Below are 27438 nucleotides of genomic sequence, written 5' to 3'. Positions count from 1 at the left end.
TTGGGAACAGTGGCTCATTGCCTGTAATCTCAGCACTTTGGAAGGCTGAGGCAGGTGGATCACCTGAGCTCAGGAGTTTAAGACCAGCCTAGGAAACATAGCAAAACCACATCTATACAAAAAAATTAGCTTAGCATGCTGGCCTGTCATGCATTCCCAGCTACTTGGGAGGCTGAGTTGGGAGGATTGCTTGAGCCCGGGAGGTTGAGGCTGCAGTGAGCCATGATCACGCCACTGTACTCCAGCCCAGGCAACAGAGCAAAACCATGTCTCAAAAAGGAACAAACAAAAAAACCCAAAAGTTATTGTAGCCACCTGAAATTTTTATATGGAATCAGGCCTATGACCAAAAGGATGAGCAGAAAATGTCCTTTTCTTACCACAGTACAAGTAACAAAAAGAAAAAAAAAAGTAAGAAATTAAAATTATTGCTGGCTTAGAAACCTAGCCACCAGTCTTAACAGTTATAAGAAAATAGATTACCAGTTTCCAATGCATTCAGCCAACATATAAATGCAGTGAATGAGGCTGACATGATCCCAGCTCCTATGTCCAGTGGGAAAAGAAATAAAAACTAGTAAACAAGCAAATAAAAAAATTACACACTGTGATAGGCACAATGAGGAAAACAAAGTGCTAAGCTAGAAAATAGCTGGGGTTACACATTTTAAACAGGGTGAAGTCTTCAAGTAGCTTCTATACCAAGCTCAGAGGAAAAGAAGGAGCCAGACGTTTTAGGGGAGGAGGAAGAATAATCCAAGAAAATGGAACACGCCCTGAGATAGTAAAGAGTTTGTCTTGCTCAGGTACGAGAGAGATCACCATGGATGGATAGGAGTAAACCAGATGGAAGAATGGGATAAAATGAAGTTTGGAGAATTAACGCAGAGTTGTCATTTTACTTGGATGTAATGGAAAGCAACTGATGTGCTTATAAAGAAACCTGTAACTTTAGAACACAGCCAAAATTATTTGTTAACTGAGAATACGTTTTCATGTACCATAATAGTAAAAGTGAATATTTTAAACTGTATAAAATTCCCATCAGCTGTAATGCTGTCAGTTCATAATAATACTGTCAAAGTCCTATAATACTGTCACAGTCCTATAGCTATTGTAGCCTTTTCACTTGTAATCAGTAACTCCGTTCCTCTGTTAAAATCTGGCTCTAGTGCTCTGCTCCCTTTAAAGCACTCATCACACTTTGAACTTTTTTTGTTTGTTTGTGTTTTTTTGGTCTTTCCCCCAGACTGTTGTGTATACTCTACAAGTGCATGGGCCAAGCCTGTCTTGTTAACATTCTTTTCCCACAAGCTCATACCATACTTAGCACTAAGTAGATAATCAATACTTATTTTAATTTAATTTAATTTAGTGAGACAGGATCTCGCTCTGTAGCACAGGCTGGAGGCAGTACCAGATCTTGCCTCACTACAAACCCCTCCTCCTGGGTTCAAGCGATTCCTGTGTCTCAGCCACAGAGAAGCTAGGATTACGAGCATGTGCCACCACACCCTGCTAGTAGGTAATCAGTACTTACTGAACAATTAACAAATATTATTCGTCTAGTATTTAATAAACACTTAGTGGTTCCAGACTCTGATGAAACAGAAAGGCTGAAATATAACATTCCATACCTTTAAGAAACTCAAAAAGGGGAGGGTGGGGTCTCAGAAACAGCTAAGTTATGAATGCTATCAACAAACTGTTTTGTAAGTCCAGAGGAGAACTAGGAAAACACATACGGTCTGACAAAGAATTTTCTTTGTGCAAGCATAAATATTTATGTGGAAAATCCAACAAAGGTAGAAAAAGTATAATCAGAGATATTTAATTAATACCTTTACTAAAAAAGTCTATCATGCAAAACGGCTGCATTTATATCAGCTGAGGATAATGGCATATGGGCTACATTATTCCTGTGTGGACTTTAGCATGGGGAATGTCTGACAAGTATCACATTAAAAAAAAAAATCTCTAACTCCTGAGCAGTGCATAAGGTAAGCTTACACAATACACAACCTGTTGTGTGAAATTCCAGAATTTCCATCCCCGCCATGTCTAAGGGTGCCAAGTTTTGATCTGCACTGATTCAGCAGTATGTTTACAGTCTTTTCACAGGTAATTGGCTACCTAAAGAAAAATACTCATGGCTACACTAGCAGAAAGGAAGGGCAAATTATAAAGAACAAGGAAAGAAAGGAAGAAAAAAAAGAAAAAGAAAACTAATAGGATCACAGGATTAAGTTCAGCATTATTTAACAAGTGATACATAGAGCAAGTTTACAAAAACAAAAGCCTTTTCAGCAGACTTGGAAGCAAAAACAGGGCTGTGTAACACAACTTAGATTTAGCGTTTTGCTGAAGTGAAATATTGCACTCCTTAAAAGAGGAAATCACTTTCTTCCCCCTTAAAAAAACACACACACACAACATAAAAATCAGCAAAAGCTTGGTATTTTATAGGTTATTTTTCTAGCCCCTTAAAAATAAACACAGCATGACCCTCAAAAAGAACATCAGCACCTTTAACCAGCTTAAAAAACAAATCTAAAGCCTAGAAAACAAAGAAATTGTGCAATAAAATGTAATTGGTGTTAATATAAGGTAGATTTACTAACTTATTTCTTAAATGTGTTGGAAAGACAAGTTGTGCAGGGGGCCTTAACTAGTTTTTCTCAGCATAAAACGAAGAGGAAACTAAATGCTTTTAGAACCTCAATCTCGAATTTTATGTGAATGGCAATGGCTCTAAATTAGTAATGCTCTAAATGCCCTTACCAAAGTCTAACTTGTGTTATAAGTCGTTCAACTCAACATCTACGGACTGGACATATTCCTAATAGTTCGAGTAGGAAATAAATCTTTATTCTTTGTCCACATACAAGACGAGACACTAACATTTGTTGAAAGACAACTATGAATTTGCCTACTGTCATACTATGGATTTACTGATTAAAAGACTTCAAGCAAAATTATATATTCAATACTAATGATGCAAAATGGCAAAAATGACACCAAAATGCCAAGCACTGAATTGGAGAAAACAAGTTAAACATGGCTAAAGATCCCGTTCATGCAGTGTTTCTGGGAATACTGGCAAACACCAGCAACTCTTTTGGTTATTTCTCCTTGCAAGAATGCTGCTGAAATAAACGCCAGCTAGCAATCTCACAGCTTATCAATATAGGCTGAAATTTCCAGAAAAGTTGCTGACCAGAAGCGCGTCCCAGCCACAAACATCAGCACCGCATTCCTAAGGGGAGACAAACCCGGCAGAGGATGCCACACGGTGTGTGGACTTGCCAGCATTCGGGCAGGAGGGTGTGGACCTGACAAGCAAGGTCCGTTCGGCACGGGTAGCGCTCCCAGCCCTCGGCCCGCTCAGCGCTGGCCCTCCACGGTTCTTCCCACCCCTACCTTGGGCTCCCACACAACAGCCCCCCGGCTCCCGCGCCGGCGCTCCGCCACCCCAATGTCTCCACAGAGGGGCAAGGGGGCAGTCTCCACAGAGGGGCAAGGGGGCAGTCGCCCCTCGCCTCCCCACAACCCCGCGCGCGAGGCCACCCTGCGCCAGGAAGAAGGACGGCGTTCGCCTCGCGCGAGTCCATACACAGCTATATCCTAATGACCCGCCCCAGAGCATCCAGTCCTCTCTCCACTGGCCCCTACAACGCCCTTCAAATCCTTCACGTCCGGTGACCGCGCTCCGCAGCCTTACCCTGACCCCAACAAGTACACCCCTAGAAATATCGCCTCCGACTCCAGCCGACTGGGTGACTGATCGGCGGCAGCACGTTCACGACACTTTCGCGATTGCCGTAAAGGGGAACAAGGTTTGAACGAGCAGCGCCGCAGGCGCGCTCCTCGGTGCCGTGAGCGCGCCCCGGGGCCGGCCGGTCTGCTCGGGAGCGCGCCCCGTGGCCCAGCCCTGTCTCCTTTTAGCATAGGGGCTTCGGCGCCAGCGGCCAGCGCTAGTCGGTCTGGTAAGGTAAGTCGAAGTAGGGGAGAAGGGACAGGCCCCAGCGCTTGCAGCCCGCTCCCTCTAGAAGGGTGCGTCAGAGGGTGGGATCTGGCAGCTCGGGGAAGTGGGCGCAGCCTGGAGCCCCCTTACCCGCGTCGCAGGCGCGCGAGACTCCTGCTGGCCCTCATTGCCTCCGGGGGCTACCTTATGCCAGGCGCCAGAGGGGGGCTGGTTGGGGCGGGAGCTGCGGGGGTTTCCGGGGGCGGGGATGAGTGCAGCTGGGCTCAGCTCCCCGTGCCCTACCTTTCTGTTCTCTTCCTTGGTTTCCCCTACTCTCCTCCTGCCCCAAGCAGTGCCTGATGCCGAGTTCCGTCTCTCGCGTCTTTTCCTGGTCCCAGGCAAAGCGGAGCGGAGATCCTCAAACGGCCTAGTGCTTCGCGCTTCCGGAGAAAATCAGCGGTCTAATTAATTCCTCTGGTTTGTTGAAGCAGTTACCAAGAATCTTCAACCCTTTCCCACAAAAGCTAATTGAGTACACGTTCCTGTTGAGTACACGTTCCTGTTGTGAGTTCTGGGTTCAGATACTTTGGTGGCTGGAGGGAGCGAGGGGGAGGGGAGAGTTTGAAATTACGATCCCTGGTGACCTTGTGTTTACACGAAGCTCAGTCTTCTGCACTCAATTCTATCGCAGCGGGTGGGTCCCACACAGAAAGGAAATTGCTGGTCCTGGGTATCTTCACAACCGTGCTTTCAAGTAGGATACATCTGAAAAACACAAAACACTGTAGAAATAATCTTTCCAGTTCTCCCAAATTTTAATTTATAAATCAGTAACCAAATGCAACTCTGTATTTTGCATTGCATTATCGGATTGTCCTCATTTCTCTTAATGTAACATTTGATGCAGCTTATAAAAAAACTTAATTTTCTAGACTCTTTAGGATTTAACCATTAGGAGAATATTATGTTTGTCAGGAGGCCAAGTTAGAGTTTAGAAAAGTAAGTATTTTTAAATTATATTTTGATTTGAGCCTGATGGTTCTGTGCATCTCTAAAAGCAGCTTAGGGCTTTCTGACCGTTCACTTGGAACTTCCAGAATTTCCTTTCTTATTTCTTAGCATTCACCACTTGGCGAAGACAGCATGAGGAATTCATTTTATTACCACGGGTATTTAAATATTTGTTAAAAAATTGTAATCACAGTTTTGATTCATAGAACTTCAAAGAGAGCAGAGAAGATAGGTTAGGTTAGAGATGCAAGACTTTTTCTTTTCTTTTTTTTTAATGGAGTATCGCTCTGTTGCCAGGCTGGAGTGCAGTGGCACGACCTTGGCTCTCTGCAACCTCCGCCTCCCGCGTTCAAGTGATTCTCCTGCCTCAGTCTCCTGAGTAGCTGGGATTACAGGCGCCCGCCACCACGCCCAGCTAATTTTTGTATTTTTAGTAGAGACAGGGTGTCACCATGTTGGCCAGGATAGTCTCAATCTCCTGACCTCGTGATCCGCCCGCCTGGGCCTCCCAAAGTGCTGGGATTACAGGCGAGAGCCACCGCCCCCGGCCTGCAAGAACATTTTTATAAACATTCTTACTGCCCTGTGAAATTTATTCCTGCATACTCTCAATTATTTTGAAAGGCTTTTTGAATTATGAATCATTGAAATTCTAATTTTGTTGGTTTGGCAATTACTCAGCAATGCTTTCAGGTTTCAAAGGCAAAAACACATTGACAATTAGTCTTCCTCACCTAGTCCATGCATTTAAATTCCTCAGTTGTCATTCGCAAACTGGTAAACCATTTCAAGCCCTGCTTCTATAAACTGTCAGTTTAAACAACTGGGACTCTCAAAGCCTAAGGAGATACGAATCCAAGATAATTCGTACATAGAAAAAAATCATACATAAAGTTGTACTCCATACCTGTGGCCTTATGACTACATAATTAATAAATCAGCTATCATTATTATATTGTATGCTTATTCTACTCCACTCCAAGGAACAACTGTTTGAGTACTGTAACTCAGAAGCTAAGTAAATTGCCTGAAATCATAGAGTTGGGTAGTAGTAAAGGTAGGACTTGTGTTTAGAGATATCTCATCTCACAGCTGTGTTCTTTACATCACATGGACTTGCAATTGCTTTATTTTGCTTAATAATCTATTATTTTTTTCCTCATGTCTCTCTATAGGAGAAGACGCAATGATATTTCTTTTTTCCTCTTTAAGATAGTGAAGGTGTTGGATGTGAGAATGCATATGAAAATTTATATCCTGGAATTAAAACATTATTTAATTCCAGATGGTACAACATCATTGTAAAAAACTCAAGTGTCAACTCATCAAAGAAAAATAACCTGTTAACAATGCTGTAGCCTAGTATTCTGCCCATGAACAATATTGGCGTGTTGACTTAAAACTGTACATGTTTAAAATTGTGTGGATTGAGAGAAAAACTTCTTATTTTCTTTGTGTCGGTTTTAGGATTTACAAAAGGTGCAGGTATGAGCAGGTCTGAAGACTAACATTTTGTGAAGTTGTAAAACAGGTAATTCATTTTTCACATTATAAGAGGAACAAGTACATACTGATCATCTCTGAAAATAAGTATCTTATTTAATCCTTGAATAAACCTCTATGAAATGGGTATTATTTTATACTATTTAACAGATAATACTAAAAGCTACCATTTATTATGCACCAGCAATCTGTTAGGTTCTTTGCTTGTGCTATCAGTATAAGCTGTACAAAGACTACTCAGCACAGTCCAATAGAACTTTTCCACAATCATGGAAATTTTTTTTTTTTTTTTTTTTTTTGAGATGGAATCTCGCTGTCGCCCAGGTTGGAGTGCAGTGGCGCGATCTCGGCTCACTGCAGGCTCCGCCCCCCGGGGTTCACACCATTCTCCTGCCTCAGCGTCCCGAGTAGCTGGGACTACAGGCGCCCACCACCTCGCCCGGCTAATTTTTTGTATTTTTAGTAGAGACGGGGTTTCACCGTGTTAGCCAGGATGGTCTCGATCTCCTGACCTCGTGATCCGCCTGCCTCGACCTCCCAAAGTGCTAGGATTACAGGCGCGAGCCACCGTGCCCGGCCAATCATGGAAATGTTCTAAATTTTTACTGGAGTGCAGTGGCACGATCTCAGCTCACTGCAACCTCCGCCTCCCAGATTCAAGTGATTCTTCTGCCTCAGCCTCCCAAGTAGCTGAGACTACAGGCGCCTGCCATCACCCCCGGCTAATTTTTTGTATTTCTAGTAGAAACGGGGTTTCACCGTGTTGGCCAGGATGGTGACACGTGGCTTTTGAGCATTTGAAATGTGGGTAGTGTGACTGAGGAATTAAAAATTTTATTTAATTTTAATCTATCGAGATTTTAATTTAAATAGTTACATGTAGCAGTGGTTGCTATAGCAGATGGTACAATCTGTGTTGATAACATTATTCCATTTTTCTTTGTTTTTTTTTGTTTTTTTGTTTTTGAGATGGAGTCTTGCTCTGTTGCCCAGGCTGGAGTGCAGTGGCACAATCTCAGCTCATTGCAACCTCTGCCTCCCTGGGTCAAGCGATTCTCCTACCTCAGCCTCCATTCTCCTACTTCAACCTCCCGAGTAGCTGGAATTACAGGCGCACGCCACCATGCCTGGCTAATTTTTGTATTTTTAGTAGAGACTGGGTTTCACCGTGCTGGCCAGGCTGGTCTCAGAACTCCTGACCTCGTGATCCGCCTGCCTCGGCCTCCCAAAGTGCTGGATTACAGGCCTGAGCCACCGCACCCAGCCTCACATTATTCCATTTTTCAAAGGAGAAACTGGTTCAGAGAAGTTATGAAGCTTGCTGAAGTTCACACAATTTTATTAAAAAAAAAGTTTTGAGCAGAGGAATACTTTAGGAATGTTAATTAGGTAATGCAGGTGGAATGGGTGAAGGGGAAGGAAAAGCAGATAGGCCAAGAGAATTGAAAGTCAGAATCACATGGTTACAGTGTGAACTGGGAAGAAGAATGGTTTAAATGACTTGTAGAAATAGAATTGCCATCACTTGGTGACAGCATGTGAGGACTTTATAAGAGAGAACCTAAGATTCCTCTGAAGTCTTAGAATCCTCATAACCTGAAAAAAATGGTAATGTTGTTTACTGAAATAGAAAAATCATGAATAGTTTTGGGAAATAAAAGGATTTTGCTTTGGCTGTTCATTCAACAAATAATTGAGTGATTACTATGGGTAAGGTCCTCTGCTATGCTTAGGTAGAGAAGTGGAAGGATCTTATTCCCTAAAGACACCGTCCTCAATTTTCATACTGTAGAGACAATGAGCTCTAAAAGATGTGAAAGTCAAGTGTTCTCAGAGAAAGGGGTGCTTATTTCTACATACAAAGGGCTTAGGTAAAGTTATCTGTGGAAGATAGCATTTGAGCTTTTGAAGAAAAAGAAGGATTTAGACATGTAAAACAAAGGGGGAGGAGGTTTTGCTACTAGCAATGAGGTGGACAAAATATTTGAAAATCTCTTTTACCAATACACCTAAATGCTGAATAAATTACATTAGCTCATTAAATTCATGACAGGTCTTCTACGAAAGACAGGGAAATCTCCAGGGCTAAAAAGTTAAACAACAACAATAAAAAAGCTGAAACTAGAGTAGTATACTAGCAGTGTGTTTCCTTTGGGGGCATTTGGCTGATAGCAGAAGTAGAGCACAATCAGGGACAGGTGACAGGCTGCTCTCTACCCAAAGCAGAGAGATAGAATTCATATCCCTGTAACCTCCCAGGCACATGCTTCAATGTCAATGGGTGCCATTCCATGGTAGTTGAGGTAAATGGTACCTGTGTTTCAGGGGGTGATGTTTTCATAGAATAAAGTTTAAGTATTTCCACTTGAAATTGTACAACTCATGGTATTGGAGAAGCACCTTGCCCCACATTCAGCCAGGACCCACAAAAGTCTACACAGTCAGTCATAGGTGGGCCAGAAAAATGTCTCCCTCCTGGCAAAGGGAGATCACAGAGAAATTTGTTCCTTTTCATCACAGCTCCAGGTGGGGGAATAAAGATACCACCTGAAAACTTGAAACTGGAGGGTCTGCCATCACTCATTCAAGGTTCAAATTTACATATCTACATGATCTAAAAAACCAGAAGCCAAGAAATTAACATAAAGTTGGCCCGGGTTGGTAATGTGCCATACTGTCTGGAAAAAACAAATACGGATCCTCTCTGTAATGACTCACCCTTAGTTAAGCCTTTTAAAATACTCCCAGATTTTAAGATTGTCCAATATAGGCTCAGAGTCAAAAACTGTAAAACATATGTGTAAGGGACAGCTAAACTGACATAGACTCCTAAGGACTTATAGGAATGATCAGAAACAAATTAACATTTAAAGAGATGAAAAATGAAAAAATTAAAGATCTTAGAAATGATTCAAAATTATGTAAATTAAGAACTCTTGTCCTGGAAACCTATGCTGGGGAAAGCACCAATAGGATTTGGCAAGGACTTGTCATGATTAACTGAATAGATGAAGAAAAAAGATATTGATGGGATGTTAAGGACTGACAAGGAAAAAGGAAGAGAAAAGAGAAGATTATGAAATGCAAATGTGTATATTTAGCAACAAATCAGATGGCCAGAGTAAATGACAAATACCAATAAAAAATGGCTGAGATTTCATTCTTTGGAAAGTCAGTCTCAGATGAGGAAGCTGTAAGTATTCACAAAGTTCATGGAAAACACTAAATTTCTTTAGGTCATCAAAAAAATATGAGAAGATACTCCTTCAAACATGAAATTATTCTCACATTCATAGGAGTATTCTAATTTAAAAGTATTCTTATATTTTTAAAAATTAAAAAAATTAAAAGCATGAATTTGTACCAATGTTTCTTAATTCACATTATTGACTCATTATTACTTAACAACATCCTTAATCTGGAATTCAAGGAAGAAAGTGGTGATGTGGGGTATGAGTGTATTTAGGCCCTCTGTCTCCGCCCCTGCTCCTGCTGCCCCAATGTAGGAGCTGGAAATATAATAGTGAACAGAACAGTTGTTTCCTGTTCTCACAGAACTTAAAGTTTAGTGAGGATGAGAAAACCAAACAAGCAAGTTAAATGTAATGAGTGCCCTGGTTGGGGAAGTAAAGGGTGCTGTTAAAAACAAAGCAGGGACACTCAGCTGAAGCTGGAAAGATTGAGCCTTGAAAAACATAAAAGTTAACTGGGTAGGTAGTGTTCTAGTCACCATGAATGTCTGAAGGTGTGCTAGAGAGCATGACACATTTGAAGATCTATAAGAAATATGCTCTGGCACTGTGGCATAGTTGATTGGGCACTAGAATCAAATTGCTTGAGTTTGAATCGTATCTCCACCACATCCAGCTCTATGACCTTGGGCAATTGTCTTAACCTCTAATTCTGTTGAGGAAAGTACATTATTTCATGTATTTAAGGTGTTTAGTAAACACTGCTAAGGCATAGTAAATGCTAGGTGTTTGCTTTTGTAATGATGAGATAATGATAGCTAGAGCAAAGAATTGAGAACCAAGCATGGCCCAGAGGTGAATATAGAAAGATAAGTAAAGACAGACCGGGCATGGTAGCTCACGCCTATAATCCCAGCACTTTGGGAGGCCAAGGCAGGTGGATCACTTGAGGTGAGGAATTCGAGACCAGCCTGGCCAACGTGGTGAAATCCCATCTCTACTAAAAATACAAAGATTAGCCGGACGTGGTGGCAGATGCCTGTAATCCCAGCTACTCAGGAGGCTGAGGCAGGAGAATCTCTTGAACCTGGGAGGCTGAGGTTGCAGCGAGCCGAGATTGTGCCACTGCAGTCCAGCCTGGGTGTCACAGTGACACTCTGTCTCAAAAAAAAAAAAAAAAAGGTAAGTAAAGACAAGACAATGCAAGGACCTTATGGACCACGTTAAGGAGCAAAGACTAAGGGTATAGGGGAAACCATTGTAGGAGAATAAGGGGATCAGATTGGTATTTTGAAGTTAGAAGGATTACTTTGGTTTTAGAGTGGAGTCTAGATTGGTTTGGTCAAGACTGGAGGAGGATTGAGTAATAATAGAAAAACTAGGCTGGCTGGGTGGCTCATACCTATAATTCCAGCAATTTGGGAGGCTGAAGTGGGAGGATTTCTTGAGCCCAGGAGTTTGATACCAGCCTGGGCAACATAATGAGACCTCATCTCTACAAATAATAAAGTTAGCTGGGCATGGTGGTGCGTTACTTGTGGTCCCAGCTACTTGGGAGGCTGAGGTGGGAGGATCACTTGAGCCAGGGAGGTCAAGGCTGCTGTTAGCTGTGATTGCACCACTGCACTCCAGCCTGGGCAACAGAGTGAGGCCTTGTCTCAAAAAAAAAAAAAAAAAGAGGAAGAAAAACCACCCAAAGTGTTTTTCCTGTTCTCTCACTCAATAATCAACACAATACTTCTCTGATCATCAAGAAGTATGGAGATTTCTCTCCACCAGCTGACACCAATTGGATATCCCCTAATTCAATTCTGATGGTATCTACCTAGAGATAGCATCAGATCGCACTGGTTGAGGGCTCAGTCCCACTAGACTACCTCCCAACTTCTGACACCAATCACCAGCTGGGGTTGTCTTACCCATGTTTCTAACTGACTGGCTATAAACTAAGGTTCTCACTACCCCATCCTTGTGTTTGATTAATTTGCTAGAGTGGCTCACAGAACTCAGGGAAATGCTTATATTTACCAGATGCATAAGGCAAGGGATATGGAAAGGGGCACGGAGCTTCTGTGCCCTCTCTGGGTATGCCATCCTTCAGGAACCTCCGCATGTTTGGCTATCTAGAAGCTCTCTGAACCCAGTCCATTTGGGTTTTTATGGGTGCCTCATTACACAGGCATGATCAACTTAAGTTTCATCCTCTCTCTCTGCCTTCCTGGAATTGGGGATGGAGGACTGAACGTCCAACCCTCTAATTATGCCTTGGTCTTTCCTGTGACCAGCTCCCATCCTAAAACTATATGGACTGCAAGCCTTATTAGCATATAAAAGACACTCCTATTACCCTGGAGATTCCAAGCGTTTTAAGAGCTTTTTGCCAGGAAATGGGATGAAGACCAAATACATATGTATTTCACAATATCACAGGTACCCCTTAGGAAGTTATAATTGACCAAGAGATGATGGTGGTTTGGGTAAAGTAGTGACAGTGAAGATGGAGAAAAAGGGTAGATTTGAAATAAATTTGGGAGGTAGTATAAACAGTACTTGGTACTTTCCATGGGAAGATGGGACAAGAAAGCAAGTTTCTAGCTCTGTCACGTGGGTGAATCTTGGTTGCGCTCACTAAGAAAGGGAAGGAGAGCGAGTATTGGGGTATGGCATGAGGGATGATTTCAGAGGTGAAACAGCTTGGGGTGGTAAGTACAAGGCTGTGGGCATGGATGGCTAAAGTAGGATGAGGAAACTCTTGTGAATTATCTTTTCTAATATGTTTTCTCTATTTCAGAAAACCTGTTAGAAATGTGGTGGTTTCAGCAAGGCCTCAGTTTCCTTCCTTCAGCCCTTGTAATTTGGACATCTGCTGCTTTCATATTTTCATACATTACTGCAGTAACACTCCACCATATAGACCCGGCTTTACCTTATATCAGGTAAGTGAAATGTATTCTTTGTATAGGAGACTCTTTATGTCTCATTCTTATTTTAACATTGAAGTCAACATTTAATGTCAACCTTTTAAAAATCAGATTTTACATTGGCATTACAACAATAAAGGGAATATAAAAAGGAACTTGAATTTGGCTTTTTCTTTGTGATAGAGAAATGTAGAGACAGCCCAATAAGATTCAGTTTGTGAACTGGTTCTTGAACTGTGACTCTTTAGTGCCTTGTTTTCTAAGTAAGTATTTGAAGTTGTTTCAGAATATAGAATTGGAATTATTCGCCGCTTAAAATTAAAAAATAAATGCTACAAACAATAATAATGATATGAAAAGATAATGGAAATGACAAACATGTCTTAATATGCTTACTGCGTACGAAGTAATTTTCTTTTTTTTTTTGGAGATGGAGTCTAGCTCTGTCACCCAGGCTGGAGTGCAGTGGCATGATCTCAGCTCACCTCACTGCAACCTCCGCCTCCCGAGTTCAAGCGATTCTTCTGCCTCAGCCTGCCGAGTAGCTGGGATTACAGGCGTGCATCACTACGCCCAGCTGATTTCTTTTTTTTTTTTTGCATTTTTAGTAGAGATGGGGTTTCACCATGTTGGTCAGGCTGCTCTTGAACTCCTGACTTTGTGATCTGCCCACCTCAGCCTCCCAAAGTGCTGGAATTAACAGGTGTGAGCCACTGCACCCAAACTTTTTTTTTTTTTTGAGATGGAATCTCACTCTATCGCCCAGGCTGGAGTGCAGTGGCACAATCTCGGCTCACTGCAACTTCCGCCTCCCAGGTTCAAGTGATTCTCCTGCCTCAGCCTCCTGAGTCACTAGAATTACAGGCGCACACCACCACGCCTAATTTTTGTATTTTTAGTAGAGATGGGGTTTCACCATGTTGGTGAGGCTAGTCTTGAACTTCTGACCTCGTGATCTGCCCGCCTTGGCCTCCCAAAGTGCTGGAATTACAGGCGTGAGCCACTGTGCCCAGCCTCGTAGAAAGTAATTTACTAAGCATTCTTCATGTCCTAAATAGTTGAATCCTTACAACAACTGGATAAGGTAGAAACTATGATCCTCATTTGAGAGAGAAGGAAATGAGGTCCAGGGAGGTCAAGTTATTTGCTCATGGGCAAATAACTCAGTGTTGGAACCAAGAATTAAACCTGGACAGTTTGACTCTAGAAGCTAGGCTCTTACTTTTTATGCTGCCTAGATATTTTTGACGTATTAAGTATCAAAATTTATTGATAACATTTTTGAAATCTCACAACGAATGAAGAATGGGTAGTCAGTTGCATATACTATGTTCATAACCCTCTTTTTTTACACTTGATCTTAGCCAAAAGGCCAAGAAGCTATAATAACCCTCTTTTTTTAAAATTGCAATAGCAAAACGTAATTATTACAACAAATTTTAAACAATACTAGAGTGATTATAAAAATGAAAAGCAAAAATCCCTTCCTGACACCTTCCAGTTTCTACACCCTAGAGACAATTCATAGTTTGGTAGATTTCCTTCCAGAGTTTGGTTTATCTTGTTATCATGTATGTACAAAACTCTTTCTCTTTTTTTCTCGTTCTTTCTCACTTTTTTGGGTTTTTTATTTTGTTTCATTTATAAAAAGTGATAGGATGTTGATAAAGAAATTGCTTACTTATTCTTCCTTCCCTTTTTTTTGGCTGTTACAAACAGTACTATAATGAAGGTTTCATTACATACAACTTTACATACTGATGTTGATATGAGGTAGATTTCTAGAAGTGAGATTGCTAGATAGGTAATAGGGCATCTACATTTTTCATTTGACATTTCCAAATGTATCTTTAGAATTGTTGCATCAGTTTATGCATTCACAAAAAGGATATGAGGAAATCATAATTATATGAATGGTTTCTGAGCTATTGAGACTTAAACTTCTCTATAAAAGTTAAATAAATTACATAGGGCAGGGAGATGAAGGAAACATAATTATTAAAACGTTATTATTAAATATGATTAAGCAACTACTAGTGTTTTAATCTAGATGATTTCACCTGGAATATAGTTAGGTCCACCCCTGAAAGTATTCAGCCTCTATATGATGCTTTTGAAACATCTGTCTCTTCACAGAGATGCCAAATTTTGTTGCTATTGTTGAGTAATATTTTTTGTTTTGTTGCTGTTGTGGTTGTTTCATTTATTCATTTGTTTACCTTCAGAAAAATAACCTTTCCAACACAGAAAATAGTAATCTTTTAAAGAATGATAAATTGGAAGATTAAATTTATCTTTTAAAAATGTCAAGAAAAGATCTGGGCATTACTATCTACATGTTGTTTCCACAGTGGTATGGCGTGGCACAAAAGATATAAACAAATTGGATGCAGTTTGGGAAGATTTACAGAACCCAAAAATGTTTTAGAATTTAAGGTTCCAATTCGAGAAATAATTTGATAAATAATTACCACTCTGCTAGTGGAATATGTAGCCTAAGGAGCCACACCATTCTTTAGTAACTCCGGAAGGTACATATTTAAGATTCATGAGGGTCTTTCACAGTATTTTTTTTCTCCATCTGAGAACTTGTCTGCTTTCGTTTTGAAAAACTTTTAATACAGCCAGCCCCCTATATTCATGGGTTCCACTTCTATACATCCAATCAACCACAGATTGAAAATGTTCTGGGGAAAGAAATTCCATCAAGTTCCAAAACTTGAGTTTGCCAGGTGCCAAGTACTTCGTTGAATCCACAGGAATGAAGTGATGTGTATTAGATATTATAAGTAATCTAGAGATGATTTAAAGCATATTGGAAAATGTGCATAGGTTATATGCAAATACTACACCATTTTATGTTAAGAGACTTGGGCATCCCCAGGTTTTGTTATCTGATGGAGGTCCTGGAACCAGTCCCCCACAGATACCGAGGGACTACTGTAATATAAGAGGCCACTTAGTTCTTTTTCTGAGTTTCACTTCCTTGGTGGTACTGCATGTGATTTTCTTTAAAAAGCACCCTAGACACTTCCTTTTCTGTTCTGCCTCTTCTGCTTTTTGATTTTTCTGCTAATGAACTTAGTATTACCCTGAGGTCTTTCTCCAACATTCTGACATACATATTTAAACTCTAGTACTTATTTTTATTTCTTGTAGGCTCATTTCCTTCATCTGCAAAATGATTAAGTTAAACTAGCAAGTCTGCAAAATTCTTTTCAGTTCCTAGATCCTATCCAAAAGGTTTAGCTGTTAGCCTGGGCAACAGAGCGAGACTCTGTCAAAAAAAAAAAAAAAAAAAAAAGAAACGAAGAAAATGGTTTAGCTGTTAACAGCCCCAGTGGACATAACCAAATGTAAATTTCACTTCAAAGACAATTTTGCTATAAGTGTGCTTCAGGTGTTCTCTTAGTTGGTTCAAGTAGTGGATGCCCAAGGGAGTGACTAGCCACTGGGGTAAGAGAAGAAATATTACAACATCTATGTATATTTTTAATCTAAAAACATTTAAACTTTGCCAATATTTAACGTACAGAATAATGATAACATATATTTTGATGTTAGATGATCAGATATTTTTTGGTGATGCTGTGACCACTGAGATGAAGTGCTATGATAATGAGGTGATGGGCATGGCTGTTTTCATTTGTAGGCCAGTGTATGTCATTCTCTCCTGAGCCAAAGGAAGGAACACTCTTAGCCAACCATCTTGGAAATGCATGCCTTTGTTAACTTACATGTATCATTTGAAGTATAGCTATGAAAATTATGGATTTTTCTAAGAATAATACATATACATTGTGGAAAATTTGAAAAGTAGCAGGAACAAAAAACCCTTTATTCCCTCCTCCTGAAGATGGTCAAAGAGTACCAAAATCTTTTGTATGTAAAAGATAAATTTATTATTTTATAATTGTTTCTTTACAAATACATTATTTTTTGTTTCTCTATTTTCACTGCAGATTTTTTTTTTTTAAGAGAAAGACTCATGGAATTGGAAAGTTAGAAGGAGCAATCCTTACAATTCATGTTTAATACTTTCCATTTCCTAACACCCCTAATCTAAATGTTTACTATATGTTATGGATTCTTACCAGCTATAACTTTCTACTTCTTTTTTATCCCCATGCATTGTCTTAGTTGAGACCCTAATTATCTCTTTCCTGTAGTATGTCAATTCAAGGCCAAAGACACTGTCTTTTTAATCTTTGTAGTAGTTTTAAGAAGGGGAAAGAACTAATATTTAATGGGTATCTCCCATTAGCCTGCTACTGTGCTAGATACTTAACATGCATTACCATTACATTTCATCCTTACAGTGATATGATGAGCTGGGAGGGAATGAATAGCTCCATTTTGCAAATTAAGGGAACAGTTTTAGGGAGATAAAAGGATGAACCTAAGGTCCTGCAGTAAGTAAATGGTGGGGTTTTAATCTGCCCCGGTGTGTTGCATACTGCCCTGAAAGACAGGCATGCAGGTGGATACATTGCAATGCTGTGTGGTAAGTGAGTTTATAGAAGTTCAGAAAGCATGCTATGTGAGTCACTATCTGCTAGAGGAGTTATCCAAGGTTATAGAGAGGAAGAGACTCAAAACTGTCTTGAATGTAAGCTCCGCGAGGGCAGGGGCTTTGTCTATTTTACTTATCACTGTGTTCCCGTTTCTGAAATGGTGTCTGGCACATGGTAAGTGCTTGATAATACTTTTAAAAATTGATCAGTAGGTGAATAGGCGTTAATTGAATACAGACATAGTCAACAAAAGGTGCAAAAAGGCAGTTGTGAAAAGCCTGTGGTGTTTAGGGAATATTCTGGTGGGACAGATAAATCCATCTGCCTGAATGATGGTAGGTCAATAACATAGTCTTAACATACCAAGGACAGCTTTTTAAAAATCAATATATATTGATTTCTACTATGTGGAAGAGAAATAATCTTAAAATGATGTGAGTAAAAGGTGAAGTAGGCAGATATTTGTGAACTCAAATTGTCATGTTCTCTGTATAAAATGATATGAGTTGAACTCATGGATTTATAAAAGATAAGAGGTTTGAATTAACTCCTGATATTCTTATCCCTTAGAAGAAATATATGTGTTTATCTAGTATGAGAAATCCACATACCTTCCTTTTTTTCTTTCAGTGACACTGGTACAGTAGCTCCAGAAAAATGCTTATTTGGGGCAATGCTAAATATTGCGGCAGTTTTATGTAAGTAATGAAAGTGATTTTAACATGATAATAGCCAAATTGCTACAGTATTTTCTTCTTTCAACACTGGAGTGTTACTTGTTTTACTTTCTAGTTATACTTGAGAGTATGTTATCACTAAATAATTGATCATAATTATGCTCCTTTTAAAAGAAAAACACTTTTCTAGAAATGCGGACTTATGGGAATAAACCTTTAAAAAAATATGTGTCGGATTATTCTACTATTCATTCAAATGGAAGTTGTTAAGTCTAACCAGATATTCCTTGAGGACTGTAGTGGACTTCTTAAGCAACCAGTAAGGAACAAAGAGTTGTGGATGCAGCTGACCACCGCTAATCCTAACTAAATTCCTTTGGGATAAACAGTTTAGATGTTTGAGAATAAAGATGGAACCATGTTTTGATTTTTGAGCAACATTCTAATGCTAAAGGGATAGAGTTGCTACTGAAGTATTTCATATCCCTGTTTATTTTGAACCAAATTTTTATTAATGGTTTACTCACATAATATTTTTCCATCAAGTGTGATTGTTTTAAATATTTGCATTCTTCTGTATGTTTATTATTTGCTTAGGTCAAAAATAGAAATCAGGAAGATAATTCAACTTAAAGAAGTTCATTTCATGACCAAACTCTTCAGAAACATGTCTTTACAAGCATATCTCTTGTATTGCTTTCTACACTGTTGAATTGTCTGGCAATATTTCTGCAGTGGAAAATTTGATTTAGCTAGTTCTTGACTGATAAATATGGTAAGGTGGGCTTTTCCCCCTGTGTAATTGGCTACTATGTCTTACTGAGCCAAGTTGTAATTTGAAATAAAATGATATGAGAGTGACACAAATAAGCTTTTGGGTTTTTTGCCTACGCCCATTTTATCTATATTCTATAACTAGTGCTGATTCTGATGCTAATCATAAAAACATTTTGTGTTTTATATAACTGTTTGTAAATATGAGACCCATGGAAGGCAAATGATTTGCTTAGTCACTGGAGGGATCAGTAGTTCCATAATACAACCTTAAGGTTCTCCAACATCCACAGCATGAGCCAGGCACACAGGTATGTGCCTACAGTCCCAGCTATCTGGGAGGCTGAGGCTAATGGATCACTTGAGGTCAGGAGTTGGAGTCCAGCCTGTGCAACATAGAGAGACCCCATTTTTTAAAAGCAAAAACAAAACTACAGCTATTTTGTTTTTTTTTTTCTTTTTATTCTCTCTGATTAATTTTAAAAGGAAAATCTGTGATTCTGGATAGCAGTGACCTTTGTGAACTCTTCATTGGCAACTTTATTTCTTGATTATTTATTACTTTGTTGTTTTTTGGATTATCTTTTCCCAGGCATTGCTACCATTTATGTTCGTTATAAGCAAGTTCATGCTCTGAGTCCTGAAGAGAACGTTATCATCAAATTAAACAAGGCTGGCCTTGTACTTGGAATACTGAGTTGTTTAGGACTTTCTATTGTGGCAAACTTCCAGGTTTGTGTTTTAGCCCAGCATAGGTATTTTCCTTAAGTACATAAATATATATATTAAAAGGGAAACCTGAAGCATTCAGTTACATGCTGTTGTTATTTCTTTACCTTAGCAAAATAGAAATCACTTCCTTTAAATTATTTGACCCTATTAGAAATAGCTACTTGCACAACTAGAAAAATTCATATTTAAAAGTCTGAACAAATACAAATTATTTTAACTTTTTTAGGATCCACAGGACAATTATTAGAGTCTTCATTACTACTTAGTTGGAGATTACTTCAACTCACTACTGAAACAAAATTGATATAAATTAGAAGTGACACAATTACAGATTTTAAAAGTTTTGTTTTTAATATGCCTAACAATTTATAATCATTTACCTATTTTATCTACTTGTTTGGATGTTTTCATTGATTGCCTGCATTCCTAGGTGTCCTGCCTTGTATATGAGGAAATGAAAGGAAGAACTGTAGGTCTTCTAGCTTTTTCTCAGGAAAAATAATGTCAAATACTTAATGTTAAAGTAGTGGTCAACCTTTATCAAATATTTTTCAATTCTCCACAGAGAGAGCAGTAGGAAAGAAACATTGGGCTCAACTCTGAATACAAGTAAAAGTGGGAATTCATAGCTGTGGAGCAGGGTGTAGTGGTTAGTGGATGGAAAATTACTAAGCTGGAAACGTAAGGGTTAAGAAGGGATTCTGGTTAAACTGCCTTGGTTTGTTTTGTGTGCTATAAAAGAATACTTCAGGCAGGGTGATTTATAGGAAAAGGGGTTTATTTGGCTCATAGTTCTGCAGGTTGTACAAGAAGCATGATGCCAGCATCTGGTTATGATGAGGACTTCAAGAAGCTTACACATGATGGAAAGCAAAGCAGGAGCTGGTGTGTGCAGAGCTCACATGGCAAGGGAGGAAGCAAGGGGGTGGTGGTGCCAGTCTCTTTTTAACAACCAGCTCTCACAGGAATGAATAGAGTGAGAACTCATTCACCACCCCCAACCCCCCACATCAGTCTATTCATGAGGGATCCACCCCTGTGACCCAGACACCTGCCATTAGGCCCCATTTCCAACATTGAGGATCAAATTGCAACTTGAGATTTGGAGGGGTCAAATAGTCAAAACCATAGCACTGACCTAATAGGATTCTTGGTGAAGGCAGGCCAGGGTGATTAGACATCACTTGAGGGATGGTAGAGGTGATATATTTATGGTGATCAGATACTGAGAATGGATGATTACGGCTAAACTGAACAAGATTCTTGCTAAAATTGGACAATGCAGAGATGAACATGGCAACCCAGAAGTCAGGACCTAGTTGACAAGAAAGTTCAGAGGAACCTGAGCTGGGTTTGGTGAAGGACAGAATTTTTGTCACCTGACAGTAACTCATGTAATTCCACTGACATTCATGTTTGCTAGATATGGGGGTGCAGCGGGTGTGCACAGGTCAGAAAAAATGGACCCTGGAGAAAATTTAGTTTTGCTGGACATTAGTTCCCAGCAGCCACTTTATACTATGAAAGGATAACAACAATTTGGGTGGACAACTAGCTAGCTGTCTGTGCCACAAATAGAGTTCTGCCTTCCCTAATCAGTTTCTGTAGCTCATTATTAAAAAATGTTTTGGAGAATTTCAGTGTGAGGATGGTGATTGTCTGTCTCTTGGTCAATTTAACAATGTTTCTCATCACTTTTATGGTAAACATGAATCTCCAGTATTTGTTTACACAGCCCAGCAAATTCCAATAGCAGTTCTTGATAGCACCCACACAAGCCGCCTTTCCACTTTTATCTCAATTACTTAAGGTAGCCTATATACTTTCTTTATTGTTTTGCTTTTAGCTTTTATTCTAATTTACCTTCACAAGAGTACTTATGGCCGTGTAATTTTGACTAAATTACTTTTTCTCTTTTGTTAACATCTCTTCATGCAACTTTAGATGCCCTCTTCATCTTTCACTGACGGCTTTATTGCTGGGCCCTGTTTATAACCAGACCTTGTAGCATTACCCAAATATCAAACAATTCTCTTTCCTTTCTTTTTTTTTTTTTTTTACCCACTGCTATACTAATGAGGATCTCCTTCCTTTCCAGAGTAAACGTTTACTACTTAATTAAAGTGGTGAGTGCACTGCTTCCTCCTCCACTTCCCCCTTTTCTTTTATGGAGACAAACTCTAGGTGATTTATACGGGAAAAATTTTACAAAACCAGGTCTATAAATGGTTTTACCCTTGCAGGTATTGGCTTGGAAGAGAGGCTAGCACTGTGTTTTAAATGGAGTCAGGACTTAATGGTTTTACTTCTTGAATATTTTTTGAAGACATTCACTTCTTTCCATTTCTGTCTTTACTTCCCTCCTTACTGTCTTCTTCTCAACTAGCTTAGATTTCATCATCTCTCATCTGAACTACTGCCATAGCCTCCTCAATGGTTCCTGTGCATTCACTCTTACATTCCTTGAATCATTTCTTCATATTGCAGTAAAAGTGATCTTTTGGAAACGTATATACATCTCATTTTGCATCCCTGTGTCCTTGCTTAAAGTTCTACAGGTTTAAAAATTATGTGAAAAGAGATACAATTCAAGAGAGAAAAAAATAATTTGCTAAACCACCAAACTGCCTAACTAACTCAAAGATCTTGTATAATCTGGCTGATGTCTACCTTTCAAGCCTAATTTTGCATTGTCCCCCTTCTTAATATCTCCATTATATATATCACTAGCCTTTTTGTGCTCCTTAAATAGGACAAGCTTATTTAATTTCCTCTCACATACTGTTTCCTCTGTTTGGTAGGCCATAACGCCCTTTATATCCATGGTTGTAAATTTATTATTTTTATTTTTTAGTTGATGTATTTCTTTATTAATTATAAGCACAATGGTTTCGAAACGTTCACCATTGTATCTCCAGCACCTAGCTTAGTACTTAAGACAAACATGCTTTCATTAATTATTTAGTAACTTATTGAGAGAGGTTAAAGGGACTATGCAGGATTGGAAAAAATTCTCTTATTGCTGTGGTTGCCTGCATTTAAAGAGATGCCTAATAATTGCTATAAGATGGTATTTGAAAAATCTAACTTAAAAAATAAAAATTGAATTTCTTTTAAAACAAATTTGTATATGTTGTTCAGAAAAATAACTACATGGTAAGTGTCTTCACTACCTACTTAGAGGAATTTTTTTCTTCATACGAAATTTATCAAAGGAGAGTAGTAAAACTTTAGTAAGCAGAAATCTGTATTAATTTTCTAGTGCTGCCATAATAAAATATCAAACTGGGTGACTGAATAGAAATTTATTCTGTCAAAGTTCGGGAGGCCAGAAGTCTGAAATCAGGGTGTTGGTAGGGTTGATTCTCTTATTGGAGGCTCAGAGGGAGAATCTGTTCCTGGCTTCTGGTGATTACCAGTAATCCTTGGTGTTCCTTGGCTTATAGCAGTGTAACTATATATAACCAATCAAGCTAGAGCCAAGGGAGAATATTTTAATTTCTTGAGTCTTTAAATTTTATTTACAGTTAAATTGAATTTAAATGGAAACTCCCTATTCCCAGCACTGCAGTCCATCCTAATCTTTTCTTATTGCACTATGCTTTTCCTATGACCCTTTTCACCATCAGACACACTGGAATTTCCTTATTTCTGAAGTTTATATTTATTGTTTATGTACCTTTACTAAACTCAGAGCTGGATTTTTGCCTGTTTTGTTCTCTAATGGATCTGAAGATTTAGAACAGTGCCTAGCACCTAATAGGCACCAAGTAAACATATTATTAAATGAAGAAAATAATAAATGAATAATTCCTATTATATTTTCAGTGGAGGTATATGAAATAGTTTGGTATTACTATAATCCTTAGGTTTAAACTGAGTATTATGAGAGAAAATTACTTCAGAAAGTAATTTGTTTGTAGAATTGGCCGAGCTTCTCTACTCAGTGAATGTCCTATTGAAATCTCTGGGTTGTGCTTTTAAATGTTGTGTTGCCAATGTGTTCTGAGTTTCTTTTATTGACGTATTTCTTCTCTCTATCTCTCAGAAAACAACCCTTTTTGCTGCACATGTAAGTGGAGCTGTGCTTACCTTTGGTATGGGCTCATTATATATGTTTGTTCAGACCATCCTTTCCTACCAAATGCAGCCCAAAATCCATGGCAAACAAGTCTTCTGGATCAGACTGTTGTTGGTTATCTGGTGTGGAGTAAGTGCACTTAGCAGTATCCTTCACTGTACAATGTGGCTACACTTGGAAAGGAATTGAATGACAAGATTTAAGTAAACACTATTGGTGCAGTATAAGAAGCCTTTTTGTCTTTTTTTTTTTTTTTTTTTTTTTTTTTTTTTTTTTTTTGTAGGAGAGATTCTTAGGTTCACAATCCTAAACTAAAGAATTTGAAATATGGAATTCAGATTGTACATAGTGCCTCAGTAATTGAGCTAGGAACAAAAATGTTGAGCCTGATCATACTCACTTCAAAGAAATGAGGGATGAGTAAATGCCCTTTCTGAGAACCATTATCTAGTTAAAGATTATGATAGAACTGCTAATTTTCTGAGCAAAGAGGTGGGGTTTGACTGTGAGAACCATTTTGTTGTGACCCTCTGAGCAGCACATTTTTAGTTTTACAGTACCACTGCTGTGTAACATTAAGTCTTTAAGAAAATGGGTTTAGACCTTAGCAATAAATGTGTGAGTAATCCTTTTAGACTGTAAAGTGATTTTTGTTCTCTGAGATCGTCTCTGAGATTCTTCCTTGACTTATGTTTTTATAGTGCTGACTTGCTCATCAGTTTTGCACAGTGGCAATTTTGGGACTGATTTAGAACAGAAACTCCATTGGAACCCCGAGGACAAAGTAAGAACTTACAGTCTATAAACTTAGTTTTATATTAAAGATGGTTATTTTGATTGATCTTGATATGTTTTTCATTTCATCAGTAACAATGAAAGTCTTCTGGTAGAATAATCAGTTCTGTATTAAAATTATTTTCTTGATATGGTAGGGTTTATGTAGAACCTTCCATATTCTCCTGTCACCTGTGATCTGTAGATATTGTCAAAATATGAAGAGCATTGCGATGGCAGAAGAGTTTTCTGAGAAATTGACTCCCCTAAATGTGGGTATAGTATATAATATAGCCAACCGAGATCATTTATGTTTTGAATACTTGTTTTCTGAATTGAAAAGACATCTTCTCCCACTTTTTGTTATCTGGAAATTGATTATGGACTCTGCATTTAGGATTCAATATAGTGGATATCTGAATGTAGATATAACATCTGGGACTCTGAGAATAGAGGAAGAGGAACATATACTAAAGAATAAAATGAGTTCATCTGTTTTCACAAACCACTTGGTGGTGTTTTATATAAGAATTAGCCCCAAATTGGGCATGTTTGTGAAAATGAATGAATGAAATAATTTACTAGATTTTCCCAATTGTAACCCATATATTATTTAATATCGTAAACACAGCACTTACTAAGTTTATTCTGAGCATTGTTAAACTTTTCTTAGTTGCATATTATGAATCTTATGGCTTTGGGTAAGGCAATAGTAATTTCTCGATTGTAGAGTAAAAATGATCCTGTTCTATCTTAGCTATTTAATTGGAAATTTTATTCGCTCCCAGTGAAACAAATAGAGTGTCATTTAGGAGGATTTCCTAATGCTGGCTCTTTAATTCTAGAGATATTATATGCCTGGTAAGTCAAGGGTTGATTTTCAGAAGCTCCATTATTTTATAAGAATTGTGTGTTTTTTATTTGAAACATAGTATATAGATCGTTTAAATGAAATTTCACAAAACTATTCTTTTTTTCCCATCACTCAGGGTTATGTGCTTCACATGATCACTACTGCAGCAGAATGGTCTATGTCATTTTCCTTCTTTGGTTTTTTCCTGACTTACATTCGTGATTTTCAGGTAAGAAGGCACAATATTAGATTTATTCAGTCAGACTTCCTTCTCTTAGTCCAGGAAGGTAGACTAAGAGAACTTTCCATAGGCAACTCTCCCGCCTTTTTGAAAATTAACTGTTTGTGATTTGGTATCATAAACAAGTGATGTAACTTTTCAGGTGAATTGTTTCTGTGTTTAAAGAAGTAGTGTATTGCTAGCAAGATTTAGCCTTGAAAATGGGGCTATAAAATAAATTTCAGAAATTCTTACATAGAATTTGTTATCGATTCTGTGTACTTTTACATAGGTCATTCTCAACATTTAGTTTTACTGATTCTTAGTAGAAACCAAAGAAAAACAGGGAACTTTATGAATTGAGAAGCTTGGTTTTTCCAGATTTTAATTGGTACAAAGAGGATACCTTTGACAGTAAAACAGCTGTCTCACTACCATTAGAATTGATTTACATTCATAATCACAAGGTAGCCTATAGAACATATTGAAGGAGTGATCTCTCTTTAAGGAGCAAACTTCTATATATAATTTTCTTTTCTGTTCCAGAAAATTTCTTTACGGGTGGAAGCCAATTTACATGGATTAACCCTCTATGACACTGCACCTTGCCCTATTAACAATGAACGAACACGGCTACTTTCCAGAGATATTTGATGAAAGGATAAAATATTTCTGTAATGATTATGATTCTCAGGGATTGGGGAAAGGTTCACAGAAGTTGCTTATTCTTCTCTGAAATTTTCAACCACTTAATCAAGGCTGACAGTAACACTGATGAATGCTGATAATCAGGAAACATGAAAGAAGCCATTTGATAGATTATTCTAAAGGATATCATCAAGAAGACTATTAAAAACACCTATGCCTATACTTTTTTATCTCAGAAAATAAAGTCAAAAGACTATGATATCATAGTTTTTTATACCTTATTTAAGAGAAACAACCTGACGTGCACCAATCAGTCTGCACATCCCAACCCTTCACATTTTATAAATTATTGTAGATCATGTTTTGTTAGGAGCACTTTTATGAGAGACATTTTCCATGACTAAATAATCAGCATTAGTCAGTAAATCCTTTAGAACTGGGTTTTGAAATGGGAGTTTTATCATATTAAATCATTTCTTGTAGTCTTACATTTTTTGTTGTTGTTCTGGAATCTACCTGTAAAGGAAAGTAGACCTGGATTCATGTGGGCTCTTCCATGGCTTAAGTGTTGCCCAAGAGATTTTGTAGGTAACGATTTTTTTTTTTCTGGCCACAATGCCAGATACTAAGCTAATTGGTCTATCATACACATGCTTGCAGTAGTTTCATGAAGTTTAGTCTCTGGCGTGAAATTTTAATCACCAATGAAGGAGAGAGGCACCTGTAGGTAAATTTACTTTAGTCATATTTTATATAAAACAAGGGTTAGTATTCATGTAACATTGAGAAGTTTGGGAATAACAGCAGATATGATTAATAAAAGTCATAACCATACTCAAGAGCTTCTTAGATTTTCATTTATGGCAAGTTATAATTACATGTAAAAGTAGTCTTGAACAGGTAAATATTGAGCCTTTTTAATAGGATGTAACCTTTGTAGAGCCCAAATTCTAAAGAACAAAATTGGCAATCCAATTAAACTACATGCAAAATAAGTGTGATACATGCATCTACAAAAACAGTGTTCTCATTTTTTCTGGGTATGCAAATGATTGGATTGTTTCTCCTTGGATCTCTGTATGTACAGGTAAAGAATAGTTTACAGATCCCTGCTGAAATTAAAAAGAAAAAAATGCTCATTTGGAAAGTGCCCAGTGATGAACTGGTTTGCAGAATAATCTTTGAAGAAGATTAATCAGGTTTTTATCTTTTTAGAAGAGATGGTTCCCTGGCCAGAAGAAAAGGTGGGGAGAAAACATTTAAACTGTCAGTTGGAGCAATTCAAGGAATAATGCTTATGTGATGGAGACCTCAATTATAAATTAGTTGCTAGATACAAGAATCAGTAAATAATATTTCTGAAGTCTTCTGGACTAATAAGACAGAAAGGGAATAAAATACTATGCCTATATTAAACAGCAATAAACCTGGGAGACATTTCCATAAGCATTGATTGACTAAATGCTGACATTGCTAGAAATAATTTGGATACAAACCATAAAAAAGTATCATGCCTTTGAAAAGCACGGTGTAACACACCTGCAAAATGTCATTTAGTCCTGATTCCCGTATCAA

At 38.3% G+C, this 27438-nt stretch overlaps 2 protein-coding genes across 32 annotated transcripts in view, besides 3 other annotated features; one reads left to right on the top strand and one right to left on the bottom strand.

Moving 5' to 3' along the window:
• The window catches only part of CEPT1 (choline/ethanolamine phosphotransferase 1), a 45606-nt gene extending 41076 nt beyond the window's left edge, over positions 1–4530 (bottom strand). For 4 of the 9 annotated variants that reach the window (NR_138485.2, NM_001410844.1, NM_001007794.3 and 1 more), the window contains exon 1: positions 4268–4530. The gene's annotated coding sequence lies outside the window, so the exon portion shown is untranslated. Of the gene's footprint in view, positions 1–3721; positions 3807–4114; positions 4181–4267 lie in introns of those variants that run through there. The other 5 variants (NR_138483.2, NR_138484.2, XM_011540496.3 and 2 more) reach the window with 2 other exon arrangements.
• Positions 3728–3987: a silencer, noted in NCBI's record as "silent region_1180". NCBI's record gives its function as "represses an Ori minimal core promoter by ATAC-STARR-seq in GM12878 lymphoblastoid cells {active_cell/tissue: GM12878}" and the evidence as "EXISTENCE:reporter gene assay evidence [ECO:0000049][PMID:35858748]".
• Positions 3936–26866, top strand: DRAM2 (DNA damage regulated autophagy modulator 2). Of its 23 annotated transcripts, NM_001349891.2 has the most exons (11): positions 3936–3991; positions 4363–4528; positions 6443–6506; positions 12461–12605; positions 17735–17802; positions 19148–19287; positions 21386–21413; positions 23336–23513; positions 24070–24152; positions 25132–25224; positions 25762–26866. In NM_001349891.2, the coding sequence occupies exons 8-11, from the start codon at positions 23387–23389 to the stop codon at positions 25867–25869; spliced, it is 411 nt and encodes a 136-aa protein (NP_001336820.1). In that variant the 5' UTR covers positions 3936–3991; positions 4363–4528; positions 6443–6506; positions 12461–12605; positions 17735–17802; positions 19148–19287; positions 21386–21413; positions 23336–23386; the 3' UTR covers positions 25870–26866. The 23 variants fall into 23 exon arrangements, 15 of the variants coding, with proteins under 15 accessions (NP_001336820.1, XP_011539010.1, NP_001336815.1 ...); NR_146305.2 differs by lacking the exon at positions 19148–19287 and having other exon boundaries at positions 23336–23497; NR_146308.2 differs by lacking the exon at positions 21386–21413 and having other exon boundaries at positions 23336–23497.
• Positions 9971–10060: an enhancer, noted in NCBI's record as "active region_1481". NCBI's record gives its function as "activates an Ori minimal core promoter by ATAC-STARR-seq in GM12878 lymphoblastoid cells {active_cell/tissue: GM12878}" and the evidence as "EXISTENCE:reporter gene assay evidence [ECO:0000049][PMID:35858748]".
• Positions 15690–15839: an enhancer, noted in NCBI's record as "active region_1480". NCBI's record gives its function as "activates an Ori minimal core promoter by ATAC-STARR-seq in GM12878 lymphoblastoid cells {active_cell/tissue: GM12878}" and the evidence as "EXISTENCE:reporter gene assay evidence [ECO:0000049][PMID:35858748]".

Source organism: Homo sapiens, chromosome 1, assembly GCF_000001405.40.
Source record: "Homo sapiens chromosome 1, GRCh38.p14 Primary Assembly".
Lineage (NCBI taxonomy): Eukaryota > Metazoa > Chordata > Mammalia > Primates > Hominidae > Homo > Homo sapiens.
This window is presented reverse-complemented; position numbering and strand designations above follow the sequence as displayed.

Coding starts and splice junctions, on each gene's coding strand:
- DRAM2 (NM_001349885.2), top strand. CDS start 12,475: ATGTGGTGGTTTCAGCAAGGCCTCAGTTTCCTTCCTTCAGCCCTTGTA. Junction 17,803..19,147: donor AAATATTGCGGCAGTTTTAT/GTAAGTAATGAA, acceptor ATCTTTTCCCAG/GCATTGCTACCATTTATGTT. Junction 25,225..25,761: donor CTTACATTCGTGATTTTCAG/GTAAGAAGGCAC, acceptor TTTCTGTTCCAG/AAAATTTCTTTACGGGTGGA.